Source organism: Homo sapiens, chromosome 21, assembly GCF_000001405.40.
Source record: "Homo sapiens chromosome 21, GRCh38.p14 Primary Assembly".
Taxonomy (NCBI): Eukaryota; Metazoa; Chordata; class Mammalia; order Primates; family Hominidae; genus Homo; species Homo sapiens.
The window spans coordinates 15,845,207-15,863,199 of NC_000021.9; the positions used below are offsets into that span (position 1 = coordinate 15,845,207).

Here is a 17,993-nt window from a genome sequence, read left to right on the forward strand (position 1 = left end):
CTTTTTAAGAAGTCATATAATTAATGGATTTCAGGCAAGTCATAAAAATCTTCGTATTTTAATTATTTTTGCAGCATATTAACTGAGAAACTTATTTTTAACTCTTTTCAAGTTTAGCCTTTGTTAATGTATTCATATAAGACCTGAAAACAATAGAAAAAGATAAATAAACATGTATTTTACTCTAGTGAGCCCTTAAATTCTTTACATGGAAAATTTTTATGGTACTTTGGGATATCTAAATTTGGCAAATGATACTACAGAATTATTATATGTGGCAAAGTTTCTTCCCCCTTTCAGCTTTTACCCATGTATTTAATCAGCATTATGCTGTTGAAATTCTTCAATAGTAACTGAAAAGGTTTATAAAACATTTATGTTCCCTAAGTGCAATTTTTTTCCCCCAAAGGGAATCTGTTTTGTAAGGATTAATATTCTAAGTGATAACCATTTGCTTCAAATTTATATTTTCTTTTCCTAAGATAGAATTGTTTTGGATTGGTTTGCTAGTGAGAAATCATCACCACAAACTCCGAACAGATTTCTGAATTTACCTGTTTATATTTCACTCTTGTGTACAGAGACCTAGCACAGTTCGTCTCTTATATGCTAGAAAGATTAAAAATCCTTAATTAAATGTCATGGACCAAGCACATCTCTGTAGAATGTGTGTGATAGTAGTATTAGGTTAAAATTATTCAAATATAAACAATTTAAAGTAGCACAACAAAGTAGTACAATGACTCATAGCTGTCATTTTATAGAACAGCCGTTACATACCTGGTGTTGGCTTAGCTGCATATTATCTCTCATGATCATGATACCTGTTCATGCTGATCATTTCCTGTTGAAAAGTTGTGGATTTTGATAAATTAAGGATAAGTTGTGGATTTTGATATATGTGTGTGTGTGTGTGTATATATATATATATATATATATATATATATATATATTTTTTTTTTTTTTTTTTTTTTGAGACAGAGTCTTACTCTGTAACCCAGGCTGGAGTGCAGTGGTGCAGTCTCAGCTCTCTGCAACCTCCGCCTCCCAGGTTCAAGCAATTCTCATGCCTCAGCTTCCCAAGTAGCTGGGATTACAGGCATGTGCCACCATGCCTGGCTAATCTTTGTATATTTAGTAGGGACGGATTTCGCCATGTTGGCTAGGCTGATCTCCAGCTACTGACCTCAAGTGATACGCCCATCTTGACCTCCCAAACTGCTGGGATTATAGGTCTAAGCTACCACGCCATGCCAAAAATAGTGTTTATTTTAAAAGGGGCAGTACCAGTTGCAGCTATTGGTTTTGTTTTGTTTTATTGTTCAGTTAAACTCTTTTTCTATATATGCTTCCAGGAAGCCAGGAAATGTTCACATTGCTAAAATTTACCCATATTTCTAATGGAAATGAAACCTCTTTAATTGCTGTTATAAAAATGTTTTTTGTAATATCAAAACAAAAGTTTATCTTTGTGTATGAAAACTTATGCAATTCAGTTACTTAAGTTGTTTTCAAGCACCTTCAGTACTTTTGGCTTTTTTAATAGGTAAATAGTGGATATGCTAGTTATAAATATGTTGAATAAGATAAATAAGTATGTAAACATCTGTATGGTATTTTGAATGAATCATATTAGTGTCATGAAGTTTTGAATGAAATTTTCTGAATTTTACACTGACTTCTGTATTAGTGTAGATTACTGAAATACATAGAATTTGTTAACAATAAAAAGAAAAAAAGGAATAAATCTGATTGAGTTGTTAAAAATGGGTATCAGCTTCCAACAGCTTTTTCTTATTTTCAGCAGGTGTTTGTTGAACACTTAAGATATAAATATACTGGAGCCTCATAGGCTGTATATAATAAGTTAAACAAAATAGAATATGGATATTAACTGGATACACAATTGATTACCAAAAACAATAGAAGGATAAAATTATAAGGAAAAAAACCCTACAAATTCTGATGAGTTTAGAGGAGGTCATATCTTATTTTGGTTGAGATATCAAGAAAGGTTTTTGGGAGCTATTGGACTTTTTAAAAAATTGTCAGCTATACAGACAATAATAGAAAATACAACTCCACTATTTTTTATCTTAAGTACTTAAAGTTCTAAATACTTTCAGGGAAAAATGTAATGATATTGGTAATACCCAGTTTGAGGATGTAAAGGGAAAACTGCAGATTTTGTATTACTACTTGATGAATGCATTTGCTTCTGATGTTCAGTTTTAAGTGGTTTCATTTGATACCAAGTCAATGCAGGTATTTTTAAAAGATTTAAGAGTATGTGCTTAAACAGTTTAATAGTGCATGTGCGTTGGAACTTTTAAAAATAAGTCATATGGATACAGGGCTGCTGCTTAGGGATGTGCAGGTTATACAGTTGTGCAAGGATGCCATTGTTCTCCACTGTTCTCTTTTCTAATGTTTATATTAATGATTTCCTTCTGCAGAAACCTGAAAATACTACAAGCCAACCACTTTCTAATCAGCGAGTTGTAGAGGTGGCGATCCCTCATGTAGGGAAATTTATGATTGAATCAAAGGAGGGGGGGTATGATGACGAGGTACCTTTTACAGCCCTCTGCACCATTGCTACTTAACTTTTGCTATTTAATACAAATACTTTGGGCATGCCTGCACCCTCATACTTAATGTCTATTGCCACATAACATACAGCTTTGCCCCCTCATAGTCCAAAATTACTTTACCAATTATTAACAGAACTTTGAATTTCAAATGAAAATTTAAGTAGAAAACTTATGGAATTTGTCAAAAGAATTTTCTGTTTGTGGAGTTAATTCTTTTATGCAGAAATAGTACCAGTTTACTTCCAGGTTGGCAGATTACAATAAGATTTGTTTAATTAGTACAAAAATTTTTTGCATTTAAAAATAATTTTTTATATTCCATTCTTGTTTTACTGGAATTACTTATAATCCTTTTCCCACTATCTCCTGCCAGAAAATCCCACAGCATGATTGCAGGATGGATAATTGATATTTTTGCTTCTACAGCCTCTCCATGTGACTGTGAGTGGAGTAAGTCATCACCGTTACTGAGTGCCTACCGTTAATAGGACCTCCATGTTTATTCTTATCTCTTCACTGTTAATTCTCATTTACTTAGTTTTCCAACAGTATGGAGGCATTTTTGTTTTTCATGATTTAGTTCTTTGGAATCCAGATGAAAATGATCTATTGTCTTATTCTATCAGATGATTTTCTCCCCTTTTCCACTTTTCTCTTGAGACACTTAATATTACTCTTTTTGAGGAACGGCCAGTAAAGCTGTTTTTGAACAGGAACACAGAGGAGGCCGTAACTATTGGGTAGTGGGGGAGGGGGGTGATTTGGAAAAATGCTTGTTGGATTCTAGTTTTTGTGGGTTTGTATAAGAATTGCATTTATGTTAAGTTTTTTTTCACGTAACTTTTTTTCTGACTTACTCCAATGTTACTATCATGCTAGAGTTAATCACCAAAGTCAGAAGTGTCATAAAGACATATCACTGTACCAGTGTAAGAAATCACACGCCATAAAGAGAATAAGCAGATTTGTGAGATAAACTGGTCAGAGAGTTTTCTCAAGCAGGTGTTAGATATATTGCAATTCTCAGTATATAATCCAAAGTAAATACAATGAGTAATAGGTTCAGTGAATCAGAGGTGACGGAGGCAATCTCTTGATTTCTGTAAGATAGCTTCATAGGGCTTTGAGTAATTTCACTTTGCAGATATTTTAAAATGTAAACAGCTAAAAATAATAAGCTATTATGAAAACAAAAAAAATGCTTAAGTATTTGTACTTAATGGCTCTACATTGTTCTAGTTAACTATTTTATAAACATGCTGGCTCTTGAAAATTATGGGAACTGGCATGTTTTTAATAAACCTATCAATTTATTGATTAAGCAGTTAAGTACTTGTTTTAGGATGTGCCCTCTCTCATTTAAAAAAGTTGAATTGTGATTAATCATTTAACACTATCTTTTTTGCAAGTGCTTATGTGACAGAGTTGTGTGTTTTGTCGTTTTTTAAAATTTATTGCAGTGACAGTTTAACAGTGCATGTGCATTGGAACTTTTAAAAATGAGTTGTTATGGATACAGGGCTGCTGTTCAGGGATGTGCAGGTTGTACAGTTCTGCAAGGATGACTAGACAAGGGGCAGAAGTGGGAAGCAAATTGAGTTCATGATGAGCTCTCTGAGGCTTGAGGAAGAGGTACCTTTTTTAATTGGTAAAAAGGGATGTTGCTTTTTCTAAATAGTTCACTCAGAGGATAGCACATTTTTCTAATTTGTTTGTCTAGAAGCAGGGTGCCTTTTTCAAATTCTCCAATTCAGAGAGGATGCCTTTTTGCAGTTTGCACAAAGGCTCCGTATGAGCCAGCTGTGCCCTGTATGGATGATCTTAAAAGGTGCTTACATGCATATTGGATTAAATTTGGTATTAAAAGTGCAACATTTGATTTATAAATATGGAAAACAAAAGAGTTTCAGCTTGCATGTGAATAAATTATTTTAGTTTAAAAACCTTTTTTTAATGTTAACTATCTTCTGTGGCAGATCATGATGACACCGAACATGCAAGGTATTATCATGGCGATAGGTAAATCCAGGAGTGTATATGACAGGTGTGGCCCTGAAGCAGGGTTCTTTAAGGTACAATGAACATTTTCATTTTCGTGTCTTTTCTTTTTCAAAATTAAACTTCTTAAAATATTTTATTTCTTTGAATTCAGTTTGGTTTTCTGTATAATTTCTCTTTTCCTATCTTAGTTATGGCCACCGGATATCCTAGGGTTTTATTTTATGTATTAATTAACCTAATACTGATTGTTTTTCTCTTAATCCAGGTAATTCAAGAAAAAAATCTTTTTATTTGAGTCACTCTAATAGTGTGCTTTTGATTTGTCAGCAGAAATTTGAATTGTATTTTTTATTTGAAGGGAATGAGGACATTAATGAACAATAATAAGAACTGAGTAAATTGCCCTGGTAATAGTTTATTTTATCTTCATTGTTCATATTATTGGTCAATATCATAATATTCTTTAATTTTATTATCATTAGGTACTAAATTGCTTTTTCGTTTATAAAATGATTTATTTATTATATTATTTTTGTTATGTTTCCCCATAATTAATTTTTGATAACCTAGTCAGTTCAAGACATGTGAGAACATCAAGCTGAACACGATTCCATGATTTACCCACATCTTTTTCCCTCTAATATCAGAGCTTTACAATGTTTTGATTACAATTTTTTCCTTTTACAGATTTGAAAGATGAAAATACCATGTATGTTTTGTCATTTTATTTACATTAACTGAAAATCTTCAAGTTTTTTTTTTTTTCACTCTTTTCAAACCCTTCTTAGTGGTTTTAAAAAGCAGCTTTTTTGAGGTCCAGTTTGCTACAGTGAACTATGCATTTCTTTCTTTTTGACATTAAAAATCTAACATTTTTCATTTTCTGTATTTTGCCATTATCCAACTTGGTCTTTCAAAAACTGGTTCTTTTTTCACTGTTTCTTTCAGTATACAGTACAAAACAAAAGCCTTGTACATAGTAGTAGACCTATCAATAAGCATTTTTGAGTTTGCTAAGATTAGGGTGACTAACTCTCCTGATATGCCCGGGACTGAGGGATTTCCTGGACTACAGGATTTAAAGTGCTAAACTGGGAAAGTTCTAAGCAAACTGGTCCCAGGACAAGTTGATCACCCTATTATGATCCCATAAGAAAGGTTGAAAATCTACTTCTAAAAAAAGAAGAAAAATGTATTTTTTATAGTTTTCTGTTTTAATACATTTCTTTATAGTTTCTAGGTTTCTAACTGGCTTCCTAATTTTTACCATTAGAAATTCCTTCTTATGCCCAGATAGTCTACATTTTCTTTTCTTAAAAAAAAAACACTGAATATATGTCCTCTAAAGTATTTATTTCTTGTGGAAAAGTTATTTATGATTTACAGTGCCATTGTCATTTCTGACCAGATTGGGTCTTCTTATGTTGAATTGCAAATCTCATTTTTATTAAGTTAATATCTGCATATAAATAATCACCTAATTGTATATATTACAACAGTTAGTAAGCCCCCAGTGGATAATGACTTTCAGTTATTTAATCTGTTTGGCATTAATTCATATCTTTAAATAGAATATTTGGGTTTTTTATTCACAGTTTACACATTACCTGTTGAATTTGCTTCTGTGGAATATGAATGATGAGCTCTCTTTCTTTTCCTGCGTCGCATACATACACTGAGAGACACAGCTCCTATCCCCCATACACACACACACACACACACACACGTAAAATCTTGTAATTTTGATTATATCAGAATTCTGCATTTGTAATATTATTATGTATGCTATATGTGATTGAGTTATATTATAAATATTACTACTTTCTGTTTTTCCCTTAACTTTTGTTTTCCTTAAACTTAGTTGTTTTGTTTTTTGGTTTGCTTAGTTTATGTGTATTACTGATTTAGTTCAAAGCTGTCCACTGCTTGTTTAAATCTCCTCTCATTCTGCCTTTACCAGTTTTATCTTCTTGGGACATCTATTCTGGAGCTTTATGACCTGCCCCAATCTGTATTGGTTTTTCTTTTCTCCTGATCCATAACTAGTAACTTGAGATCTCCTTTCACCATCATTCTGGGGATTCCCTTTGCATCCTTTCCTTTGTGTATTTTCCATATTTCATATATTTTTCTTTATTGGTTTGCTCTATGATTTTGATAGTACAGCAAGAAAGCATGGGCAAGAATCAAGTTTGTGGAAGAGGGACAGAGCATTTTCTTAAATAAGTTATGTTATATTGCAACTCTCAGCACATAATCTAAATAAATACTGTGGTTAATAAACTTCAGTGAATCTGAGGTAAAAGTTTTCAAGTTGCTTTGGAGATTGAGTCGAATTTGACGTTTTACTCATAGCATAAGGAAACTGTGCTCTTTGTCAGATGTTAAAAATAATTACTACAGAATTTCTATTTCACTAACCATTCTCCTTACTATCATCATACTCCCTTTCTTGCTTTTTTTTTTCTGCTGGAAAAACACTTACAAGAATAGTGGGAATGTACATTAGGAAGGAAGTAGTTTATATGTTGATATTAGCAGCCAGACTGCCTGGGCCGACTGCTTTCTAGCTTTGATTTTGGGCAAATTATTCAATCTTTGTATCTCAGTTTCCCGAGGTGTTAAATAACTATTTATTTTATTGAGTCATTGTGAGCTTTAAATAAATTGTATCAATGTTACGCTTTTAAAGTAGTATCTGGTTGATAGTAAATGCTCAGAATTTAGCTGTTATTGTTGTTAGTATTATCACGAAGCTTATCTTATGTGTCCAGTTCTGGTCCACATATAGTCGGAGATGAAAAATGAGAAAAATGAATGTGCCATATCTGTGTCAAGGACCTTTATTTGCTAATAGAATTTTTTTAACTCATTTGTTAGAAATTGTCAGTACCATTTTGGAGTAACAAAATTAGCAGTTTTGTTTGGCTTAACCTAATAATTACTATCATAAAACCCTCTTTCTACCTTTTTATGTCTTTAGTGTGTGTATATGTTTATAAAATTTCTGAAGTTTGTGTACATTTGCACCTATCTGTGATTGAGTAATACATGAGTGTAACCCCTTTATGTAAACATACATCAAGTTGTTTCTAATTAATGCATGTTTTTGGTAAAGGTAGAAGCATTTGGACACAACTCTAGCTGATAATATGTCACCTTAAAAATTTTTTCGTATAAAAAATGAAAGTAATGTATACAAAATGCAGTTGTATTCAGTAATATAGAGGTGTCTAAAATAAAACTAACAATGACAGTCTCTGCCACTGCCATGGCCCTATTGTAACCATTCTTAGCACTGTGTATCTTGTTTTTTTCTTTTTGTTTATAACAATGCACATATACAGAGACTTAAAATTTTTTTAATGTAGATTTTACTGTTCATAATATTTTGTAACTTATATCACTCAGAAATCTATTGTGGGCTTAAAGTTTAGACAGTATCACATTATCTTTACTAGCTGTCTGTATACACACATACACATGTGTACACATGTGTACACACAGGTACACACATGTACACGCACACGTGTACACATACATGTACACACACATGCACACATGTACACCCACACAGTATTCCATGCTATAGATATATTCTCATTTCTTGTATCTTACCCTCTTTATGGACATGTGTCCTATATTTTCTCCCAGTCTACCATTTCTATTTGAATTAGTTTAGAGTACTTTTTCTTAAACAGGTTTTAAAATAGTATGTTCGTTTTCCTACTTTATGGATTTTTTTTGCCATATTAAAAGATCTACTCTTACCCAAAGTTATATAAATTTTCCCACTACTTACTTAAAATACTTTTCTTAGTAAATTTTTATTTTTTAAATTCAAATGCTTACTGTTTAACTCATTAGCATTTTATTTGGGCTTTCTGCGTTCTGTATTAAATGAATTTGGTGTTTTTCTATTTTGTGCTGTCTTCATCAAGTTTGCAATTAGGGTTATGTTAGCTTTGGTAAATGAATTTGAGAGCTTTCCTGTTTTTTTTAATACTTAACCGTGTTAGCGTTGGAATGATCTGTTCTGTTAGTTAGAACTCACTCGTAAGATCATACGAGCCTAGCGCCTTCTTGCGGGGTAGATCTTTTAACACATTTTTTTGGTTCATTCCATAGTTATTGGCATGTTTAAATATTCTTCCTTTTTTTGATTGATTCTAATCATCATCATCATTCAGTATTAATTCATAAAATATGTACACACCATAGAATCTAACATATGGTTGCTGCTTCTGTCTTCCTGTTTCCCCTCAATTAGATATAGTATTTTTAAATTTTTGTTCTTTTTTGTGCTTAGTGTATTATAAATTGAGGGAAAAGTTGTTTGTTTTGTTTTGTTTTGTTTTGTTTGAGGCAAAGTCTCACTCTGTCGCCCAGGCTGGAGTGCAGTGGTGCGATCTTGGCTCACTGCAACCTCTGCCTCCCAGGTTCGAGCAGTTCTCCTGCCTCAGCCTCCTGAGTAGCTGAGACTACAGGGGCCCGCCACCACACCCAGGTAATTTTTGTATTTTTAGTAGAGACGGGGTTTCACCATATTGGCCAGGCTGGCCTCAAACTCCTGACCTTGTGATCTGCCCTCTTCGGCCTCCCAAAGTGCTGGGATTACAGATGTGAGCCACCACGCCCGGCCGTGTTTTTGTTTTTTTTTAATATCTCTTCTGTCCTGCCACGTCCTGAAAAAATCTTGGTCGGGTCTATTTTACATTAGCTTTTTGGCTATGAAAGAAAGCTTTTTAACTCTGTGCCTGTTTAGGTACTTCTGAATATGGATTTCCTTATGTATTATGATTAGACCAACTTTTTAATACTCTGAATGTTTGCTAGTGATAAGAATAGTGATGCCACTGTCAGCCTTGTTATAAGAAACTTAGGTCTGAGTAAGTGGACTTGCTAAAGTTTAACCTCCGAATTAGGAAGTTACCAACCCAGTCATAGGAACTCTTTCAACCACAGGCCATCATCCCACGTGAACGTCTACCCAATAAGAATGCAGTATGAAAAAGTTAATAGGCAAAGTTGATCTGGAAAAAAAAATGCAATGGGCTACACTACACTAACTTGAGTCCTTCTTCAAATTGACTTTAATGGTTAAAACTAGTTTCTACTATAGAAAATCCCCAAATAATAGTGGCTTACGGAGAGAAGATTCTGTTGTGTAAAAATGAAATTCAGAGGAAAGCAATACAAAGTTACTATGATAAGCAAAAATAAAAGCCAGAAGATAAAAACAAAATATTTTCAAAGTACTCGTTGCTTGTATATATGTGTAGAGGTGGGAGGGTCATATTATAATTACAATTATGGGATTAGTGTAAGTTTTTTCATTTATTTTAAAAGACATTAAAATTTCTTTTTTTGTAAAAATTTTGTCGGTATCAAAGTACCCTTAGGGTTTTATTGAAGTAATACTTTTGTATTATAAAAATTTTTTCTTAATAGTTGTTTCATTGCTTCATAATAATGGTGTCCCTACTTGCCGTAACTTTATCACCCTTTTTTGCTTTTGAAATGTCTCTTAATCACCTTGTTTATTCAATAGATATAAAAATGTTTATTAGAATATAAAACATGTTGAAAAGTACAACTCGGTGAATTTTTTTTTGAGTGATACTTTCCTTATTTACATGGCCTTTAAGGAATGTGAAGAGGAAGAATTATTTATCAACATGGTATTAATGAAATCTTGTTCCCTAAAGGTATACGCAGGCCTAAATCGTTAATGCAAAAAATATACTTCTCCATGCATCTTGTTAAATTCAAGACAGCGGTCCAACATTTCCATGCTTAGCCAAAGAAGACTCTTTTCCTCTTGGTTGTGTACATTTGTAGCCTGAGTTTTAAGTGCCACATCTTTCAAGTCAGTTACACATCCTGCCTTTAGGCTCTCAGACTTGTACTTCCAACTCTGGGTTATCACAGTGTGTGTTTACCCATGTGACCACCAACTAGGCCAAGAGGTAGAACAGGAGTACTCCAGAAGTACCTTTTTTCCGCCTTCCCATCACTACAGTCTGTCCGTACCCAAAAGTAGCCATTATCTGGACTTCTAACAACATACGTTAGTTTTCTTGTTGGCCTTTATACACTTGGCATCTTTTACTCTAGGTCCTTTTTTGTCTGACTGCTTTTACTCAACAGTGTGTTTGGAGCTTCATCCATGTTATACAGTTGTCATTTCTTCCCTCTCATGGTATTTTGTTGTATGACTATAATTTTTTTCTATCCTTCTGTTGATGGACATGCTAAAAAGGTATTGCCTGTTTATATGCAGGGCATTGTCCTAAATCCAGGGATGTAGCTGGGATAATGATGGACTGAGTTCCTACCTTAATGAACCTCATTTTCTGCTAGGGAAAGAAACATTAATTAGAGTTATTAGTATGATAAAGAACCAGTGTAATGTGGAAAAAGAACATAAAATAAGAAAACAGAGCTAGTACCTAGAGGGCTTCTTAGAAAAAGTGACTTGTAAACTAGTAATACATAATCCAAAATGTAGAATGTAAATGTTTTTCTCTCACTTCCTAATTCTCACTCCACAGTGAGCATCTATTCATTGTTTCTTGTATATCCTAGAGAGATAGATGAGACTGGCTTACATTCAGGCATTCATCCTGTATTTATAATTTAAATAAAAGTAGGAGTATACTCTTTCTTTTTTTTTCTTTTTTTTTTTGAGACGGAGTCTCGCTCTGTCGCCCAGGCTGGAGTGCAGTGGCGCAGTCTCGGCTCACTGCAAGCTCCGCCTCCCGGGTTCACGCCATTCTCCTGCCTCAGCCTCCCAAGTAGCTGGGACTACAGGTGCCCGCTACCACGCCCGGCTAATTTTTTGTATTTTTAGTAGAGACAGGGTTTCACCGTGTTAGCCAGGATGGTCTCGATCTCCTGACCTCGTGATCCGCCTGCCTCGGCCTCCCAAAGTGCTGGGAGTACAGGCGTGAGCCACCGCACCCGGCCAGAAGTATACTCTATTTGCTTCTTTTTCTTGAGTTTATTTTTCATGTATATGTAATTATTCATATCAGGATTTGTAGATTTATCTCAGTATTTTTCCTTTGTTTCCTAGGGTTTATCAAAATTTATTTAAATATTCTCCTAGAATAGGGTATTCATGTTACAACAAATTTGAAGAAAGTTAATACATTTCCACCCACCATAGAGGCTGATGGGAGCAGTATGTCAGCACACTGATAACTTACTCATACTCTAATTTAGGAAACTGTCTCCTACTAGCTGTTACCAGCAAGGTCTCCATAGTCCTAGGTTTAAATCCTAACATTATCATTTAATAATTGTGACCTCAGGCAATTTATTAAATTATCAGAACCAGTTTATTCACTTATATGAGAAGTTATCTTGAGAATTAAATGAGATAATTCACGTGGAACTCTTCAGGCAGTGTCTGTCACATAAAGAACACCTAAGTTGTTACCTATTCTTATTAAATTTATCAGCATTGTTGTTGCTGAATATTTGAGTTATTTTCAATATCGTGAACATTTTTGTGCATATATTATTGAACACTTGCGTGAACATAGCAGAGTTGACAAGTCAAAGTGCTTGCAAATTTTAAATACTAGTATTATCAAATTGCCTACATGTAGTTATATTGATTTATTCTACTATTGATATTTGCCTAAAAAAAGACATTAAAAATGTAATCTCATATTTCAAAATGTATTTCTTTGATCTTTGTGAGGGTCAGTTTTTTTCATAAATATTTTGGCAATTGGTATTTATGTTGACTGTCATTCATCTTTATACGTTTATTACACTGAGTTTCTTTTAGTTAAGTGAACATTGATCTTCTAAGACAATTGATTCATCTGTAATTTGCAAATTATATTTTGTGGTTTATAATTTGTCTTTTAAATTTATTTTTTGTGTCTTACTATACATAATTTTTTAGATCTTATAAAATACAGCAACTCTTTTTATAGATTTGGTCCTGTGATCACTTATAAAATTATGCAAAATTTTAATTCTGCTGCTTTCATGGTTTTATAATACTTTTTGTTTTGATTACAGGATAGAAGATTTTAGTTTTCTCTGAATAGTAAAATATCCAGATAGTCTAAACATAAAATACTGACTAATGCCTCCTTTTCACGCTGACTTGACACATATACTAAATCATACCTATACTAAATCCCTTATCAGGGATTTATACTTAATGATATACTAAATCCCTACTTATAAGTAGCTCTAACTGGGTCTCTGTATTCCACTGATCTAGTTTTCTGTTTTTGGACAATACACTGAATACCAGTGATCTTATTGTAGATCGTTTGTAATACACTTTCACATTTTGTTAGAAGAACACTTAGTAATTTTTGTTCTTTTATAAACAGGAAGTTTGGCAAGCCTCATTTTTCTTCTGATGATTTTTAAAATCAATTGCCACTTCCTTTCCAAATCCTTTTAGAATTGTATTTATGTATTAATTTAACATGAAGCAGATAATTTTTTTTTTAGTATTTTGAGTCTTGCCCAAAAGGAACATGATACGCCTTTTCACTTTTATTGTCTTCTGTTGTGTTCTTTAGTGAGGTTTTATAATTTTATTTCATAATAGTCTTATGTCCTTTTGTTTAATTTATTCCTACATAATTTTTTTTGCCTTTATGAATAGGGTCATTTACTTCCATTTTTTTTTTAACCAGGTTATTGAAAGGGTAGGTAACGGGATAATTAATTTTACATGTTTATGTTGTATTTAGTTAACTTTATTGAACTCTTTGTTTTCTAATGGTTTTTCATTTTATTTTCTTGATTATTTCAGTAAACTGTCTCCCAAAAATTATTTTCTATATCTTTATTTCTTATTTCATTTCTGGTTTTATTGCGGTGATCAGAAATTTTTATTACATATTCTCAATATTGAAATAATGGTAGTAGGTGCCTTTGTCTAGTTTCTGATTTTAATGTCTCCAGTGTTTTAGTATTATGTATAATGTGTAGTTTTGGTTCCGCTTTATGAATTTTAAAATACTCTCAAATTAGTAGATAAGGGTTTCCAGCTAAACTGATTGGTATTGAAATTTAGAAATTTTATAATATACCTATTAAGATGCTGAATAGATTTCTCCTTCTTAATACTTGTAAACCCTTAATTCTTAATAATTGTAAAGGTGTTAACTTTGATCTATGTTTAAAAAAATTATTGTAAACACTTTTTGTTATCTCATATATTTTTTGTACACCACACTGTTTGTTTACCAAAAGTGGGTGTGGGTGTTGGCATCTGGGTACATAGACAAAATTGATCTATAGTTTCTTTCTTTATATTTGTCAATTTTGGATATACAAATTATATATATATAATATATCTATATTATATAGCCTTTTATAACCATTAAGGAGGCTTTCTCTTGTTTTGTTTTGTGTTTTTTTTTTTGAGACGGGGTCTCGCTCTGTCGCCCAGGCTGGAGTGCAGTGGTGCCATCTTGGCTCACTGCAGGCTCCGCCTCCCGGGTTCACGCCATTCTCCTGCCTCAGCCTCCTGAGTAGCTGGGACTACAGGCTCCCGCCACCACGCCTGGCTAAGTTTTTTTTGTATTTTTAGTAGAAATGGGGTTTCACCGTGTTAGCCAGGGTGGTCTCAATCTTCTGACCTCGTGATCTGCCCATCTCGGCCTCCCAAAGTGCTGGGATTACAGGCGTGAGCCACTGCGCCCGGCCGCTTTCTCTTGTTTTTCTGGCTCTGTGGCAGTTTAGATATCACAGAAATTATCTGATCCTTGAAGATTTGACATAACAGCCCAGCTCGAAAACATCGTGGGCTTGATATCTTTCGTGTTACCAGATTTCTAGGGCAAACTTTTAAGTTTTACAGAGTCTGTTCAGTTTTTCTGCCTCTGAAAGCAGTTCTGGTAGTTTATATTTTTCTAGATTATTATCTGTTGGGATACTGTAGTCTATTAACAAAGTTATATGTGTTATTCTTCAAGAAATTTTAAAACATTTTTTCTGTATTATCACCTTTCTTATTTCTACCGATGAGTTTTCTTCCCCTTTTTGGTCTTCCATCCAACTTTTTGGAAAGAAAAAGCCTTTGACTATCAAATTGTTACATTATATTTTATTTCTCCTACTTTATATTTTATTTTTCTAAATTCTTGAAATCTTTTCTATATTTAAATTGGATATATATATGTATATATATATATATATCTATATTTTTTTTTTTTTTTTGGATGGCGTCTCGCTCTGTCGCCTAGGCTAGAATGCAATGGCACAGTATCGGCTCACTGCAACCTTTGCCTCCCGGGTTCAAGTGATTCTCCTGCCTCAGCTCCCAAGCAGCTGGGATTACAGGCTCCCGCCACCATACCCAGCTAATTTTGTTTGTTTGTTTGAGACGGAGTCTCACACTGTTTCCCAGGCTGGAGTGCAATGGCATGATCTCAGCTCACCACAACCTCTGCCTCCTGGGTTCAAGCAATTGTCCTGCCTCAGCCTCCCGAGTAGCTGGGATTACAGGCGCCCATCACCATGCCTGGCTAATTTTTCCTATTTTTTAGTAGAGACAGGGTTTCACTGTGTTGGCCAGGCTGGTCTTGAACTCCTGACTTCAGGTGATCTGCCCACCTTGGCCTCCCAAAGTGCTGGGATTACAGGTGTGAGCCACTGTGCCTGGCCTGGAAATTTTTTTGACTAACAGCCCAATAGGTTTTGATATCTGATATTCCCATATTAGTATAGTTTTTTATTTCTTTGGCTCAAGAATAATTTAGAGCCATATTTTAAATTTTCTAAGTATTTAGGTTGGAAGATATCTCTATTTATAATTCCTATTTGTATTACAGTGTGGTCAAAGAATATGGCCAATATTATTTCAGTCCTCTGGAATTTGAAGTAAGTTTTCTTCATTTCTTGGCACTGTCAGTTTTTAAAAAATAGCCCATAAGCATTTTAAAATACACATAAACTCTCTTAACCAACTTTATTTTAGAGATAAGAGCAATCAGACTTAGAAGATTATGTGCCTTATTCTATGTCACAATTAATTATAAATGATGTATCTAGCTTTTTGAATTTTAATCTCATCAGTTTCCCATTAGATTTAACTGCCTCCAGAATATAAATGTTTATATTTTTGGTATCCACATACTCACATATATATATATTTGGTATCTTCATATATATATATATATATATATAGAGAGAGAGAGAGAGAGAGTTTACATAAAAAATTAAGTCCATAAGAAGTTATAAATTTAGAATATGGTTTTACAGTATTACTTAGAAAAGTAGAAAAAAGTCTAGGTAGAAATTATTTGCATCTTTAGAACTGAACAAGGTCTCAAAAGCATGACTTAAACTAATTTTGCTGATGGGTCATCTGTAGGTAGATGGGGAATGAACAAGAAAGGATATCACACATATGGAGAACTTAAGAAACAAAGGCATGTGTGCATTTGTGAGGAGACAAGCCTAACCTAGATAGGAGGGAGATCCTTGTTGCAGGATGATAGGAAATAAGATTGAATAAATGGCATTAAGCCTGATTAAAGGTCTAGTGAAAAAGTTAAAAAAGTTAAAAAAATTAAATAGCAGTTCTGTCATCTAATGACTAGTATCACATTTCATTTTGCACATGCGTGGTGATTTCATTGCAGTGTCTGTGATAATTAACTTAAAATAATTAGCATAGACCGCCAAAAAATATGGGCAAATATAATTCTAGAACAGGATTCTGAGGAGGTAGTATGAGACAAATATAATGTTAATTTACTCATAATGGCAGATTGTGTAGAACTCTGCTAAATATACTAGCATGGAACATCTGTTGAGAATTTGAATAAATATGATTCCAGTATATTTTAAAAGCCAAAAATTTCTTAAGGAAGTGTGTAAAAAATAGTTAAGGAATGCATTTATGCTAGTGAAAATGTTTTTTTGTATGTTTGAAAAACAGCTTCTAGAAATTTAGAAGGTAATTTCTTAAGAAGGAAGTGTATAAAAAATAGTTAAGAATTGCATTTATGGTGGTAAAAATGTTTTCTTGTGTGATTGAAAAACAGCTCCTAGAAATTTAGAAGTGTCTTTCTACCTCTGCTGGTTTAAACACCTATATACTGAAAAATACTGTGACTTTGGCAATTTGCTTGTGAAAATTAGGAGAGTCTTAAATTCAGCAAAATCAAGAGGTGAACATATAATCTTAGAGTATAAGAGGTTATATATTTCAGTTCTATAATAGAAATCTGCTATTTATTAAAACAGCTTCTATTTTGAAAGTAGGTAGGGGAATGATGACCATTTAGTGGAATCACTCCGTGCATGTAAACCTGCAATATTAATTTAAGAGACTCAGTACAAATTTGTTTTATTTTGGTCATGCTATTTTGTACTAAAGTATGATATACGAAATATTTGAATATTCTAAAAGTCTATTACAGGTTGAGTATCCCAAATCCAGAATTCAAAATCTGAAATATTGCAAAATCCAAAACATTTTGAGTGCCAACATGATACTCAAAGGAAATGTTCATTGGAGTATCATGGATTTTGGATTTTTGGATTCGGAATGCTCAACCAGCATAATGCAAACATTCCAAAATCTGAAAAAAATCTAAAATTGGAAACACTTCTGGTCCCAGGTATTTCAGATTAGGGATACTCAACCTGTAGCCTGTGACAATCATTATCGAAGGTTCATATCAACAAGAACAGTAATTGAATTGTTAATGTTTTAGATTTATTCTCAAATTCTTCCTACTTTGATTATTATGTTTGGTCTCCCCCCTTCCCCGTTTTTTTTTTTTTTTCCGAATTTGGATAATAGGAAGATTTTTAAAGAGCTCTAAGAGAAGCTTATGTGTGCTACCTAGGCACACAGTAAGCGTTGATAATCTTAAATATTAAAATACAGTTGATATTTATGGCTGTTATTTATTCACATAAGACTTTGGAATGACATGTATATCCTCAAAAAAAAAAAAGTCAGTTTTTTCAAGGGAAAAGTATTTTAAAATAATTTGTTCTCTTATTCTATTTATAATCTTATGCTGCATAGAAAGAACATATTAGCCTTCCTTTTTAATGAGTATGATATTACATAACTAGAATATTTCATTTAATGTTTATCAGTTATTTTTTCTCCCATCTGTACAATACAACCATATAGATCATAACATCTAGACGTCAAAGAATTACTTAAGAAAGGCATGCATTTTTTAAATTAAAAAAACTTTTTAATTGAATGGATTTTTTGTAATCTTGCCTGAAGCCCAAAATGTTTATGCTTATTAGAGCTAGAATTTACATATAAGTATAATATAAATGAATATAAAAAGCTTTATCTTAATCATATGGTCCTCTTGTACATAGCAATATGTACAATATGTGTAAATCTATACATATTTCTATATGGTCAGATAT

General features: G+C 33.0%; 1 protein-coding gene across 17 annotated transcripts in view; it reads left to right on the forward strand.

The window, feature by feature from the left end:
- The window catches only part of USP25 (ubiquitin specific peptidase 25), a 150,083-nt gene that overhangs the window by 115,225 nt on the left and 16,865 nt on the right, over positions 1-17,993 (forward strand). For 8 of the 17 annotated variants that reach the window (NM_001283041.3, XM_011529529.2, XM_047440745.1 and 5 more), the window contains 2 exons: positions 2,457-2,570; positions 4,571-4,666. The exons of 8 other annotated variants lie outside the window; for them this stretch is intronic. In NM_001283041.3, coding sequence (NP_001269970.1) covers positions 2,457-2,570; positions 4,571-4,666 — 210 coding nt within the window. The remainder of the gene's footprint in view (positions 1-2,456; positions 2,571-4,570; positions 4,667-17,993) is intronic. One more of the 17 variants, NM_001283042.3, reaches the window with a different exon arrangement.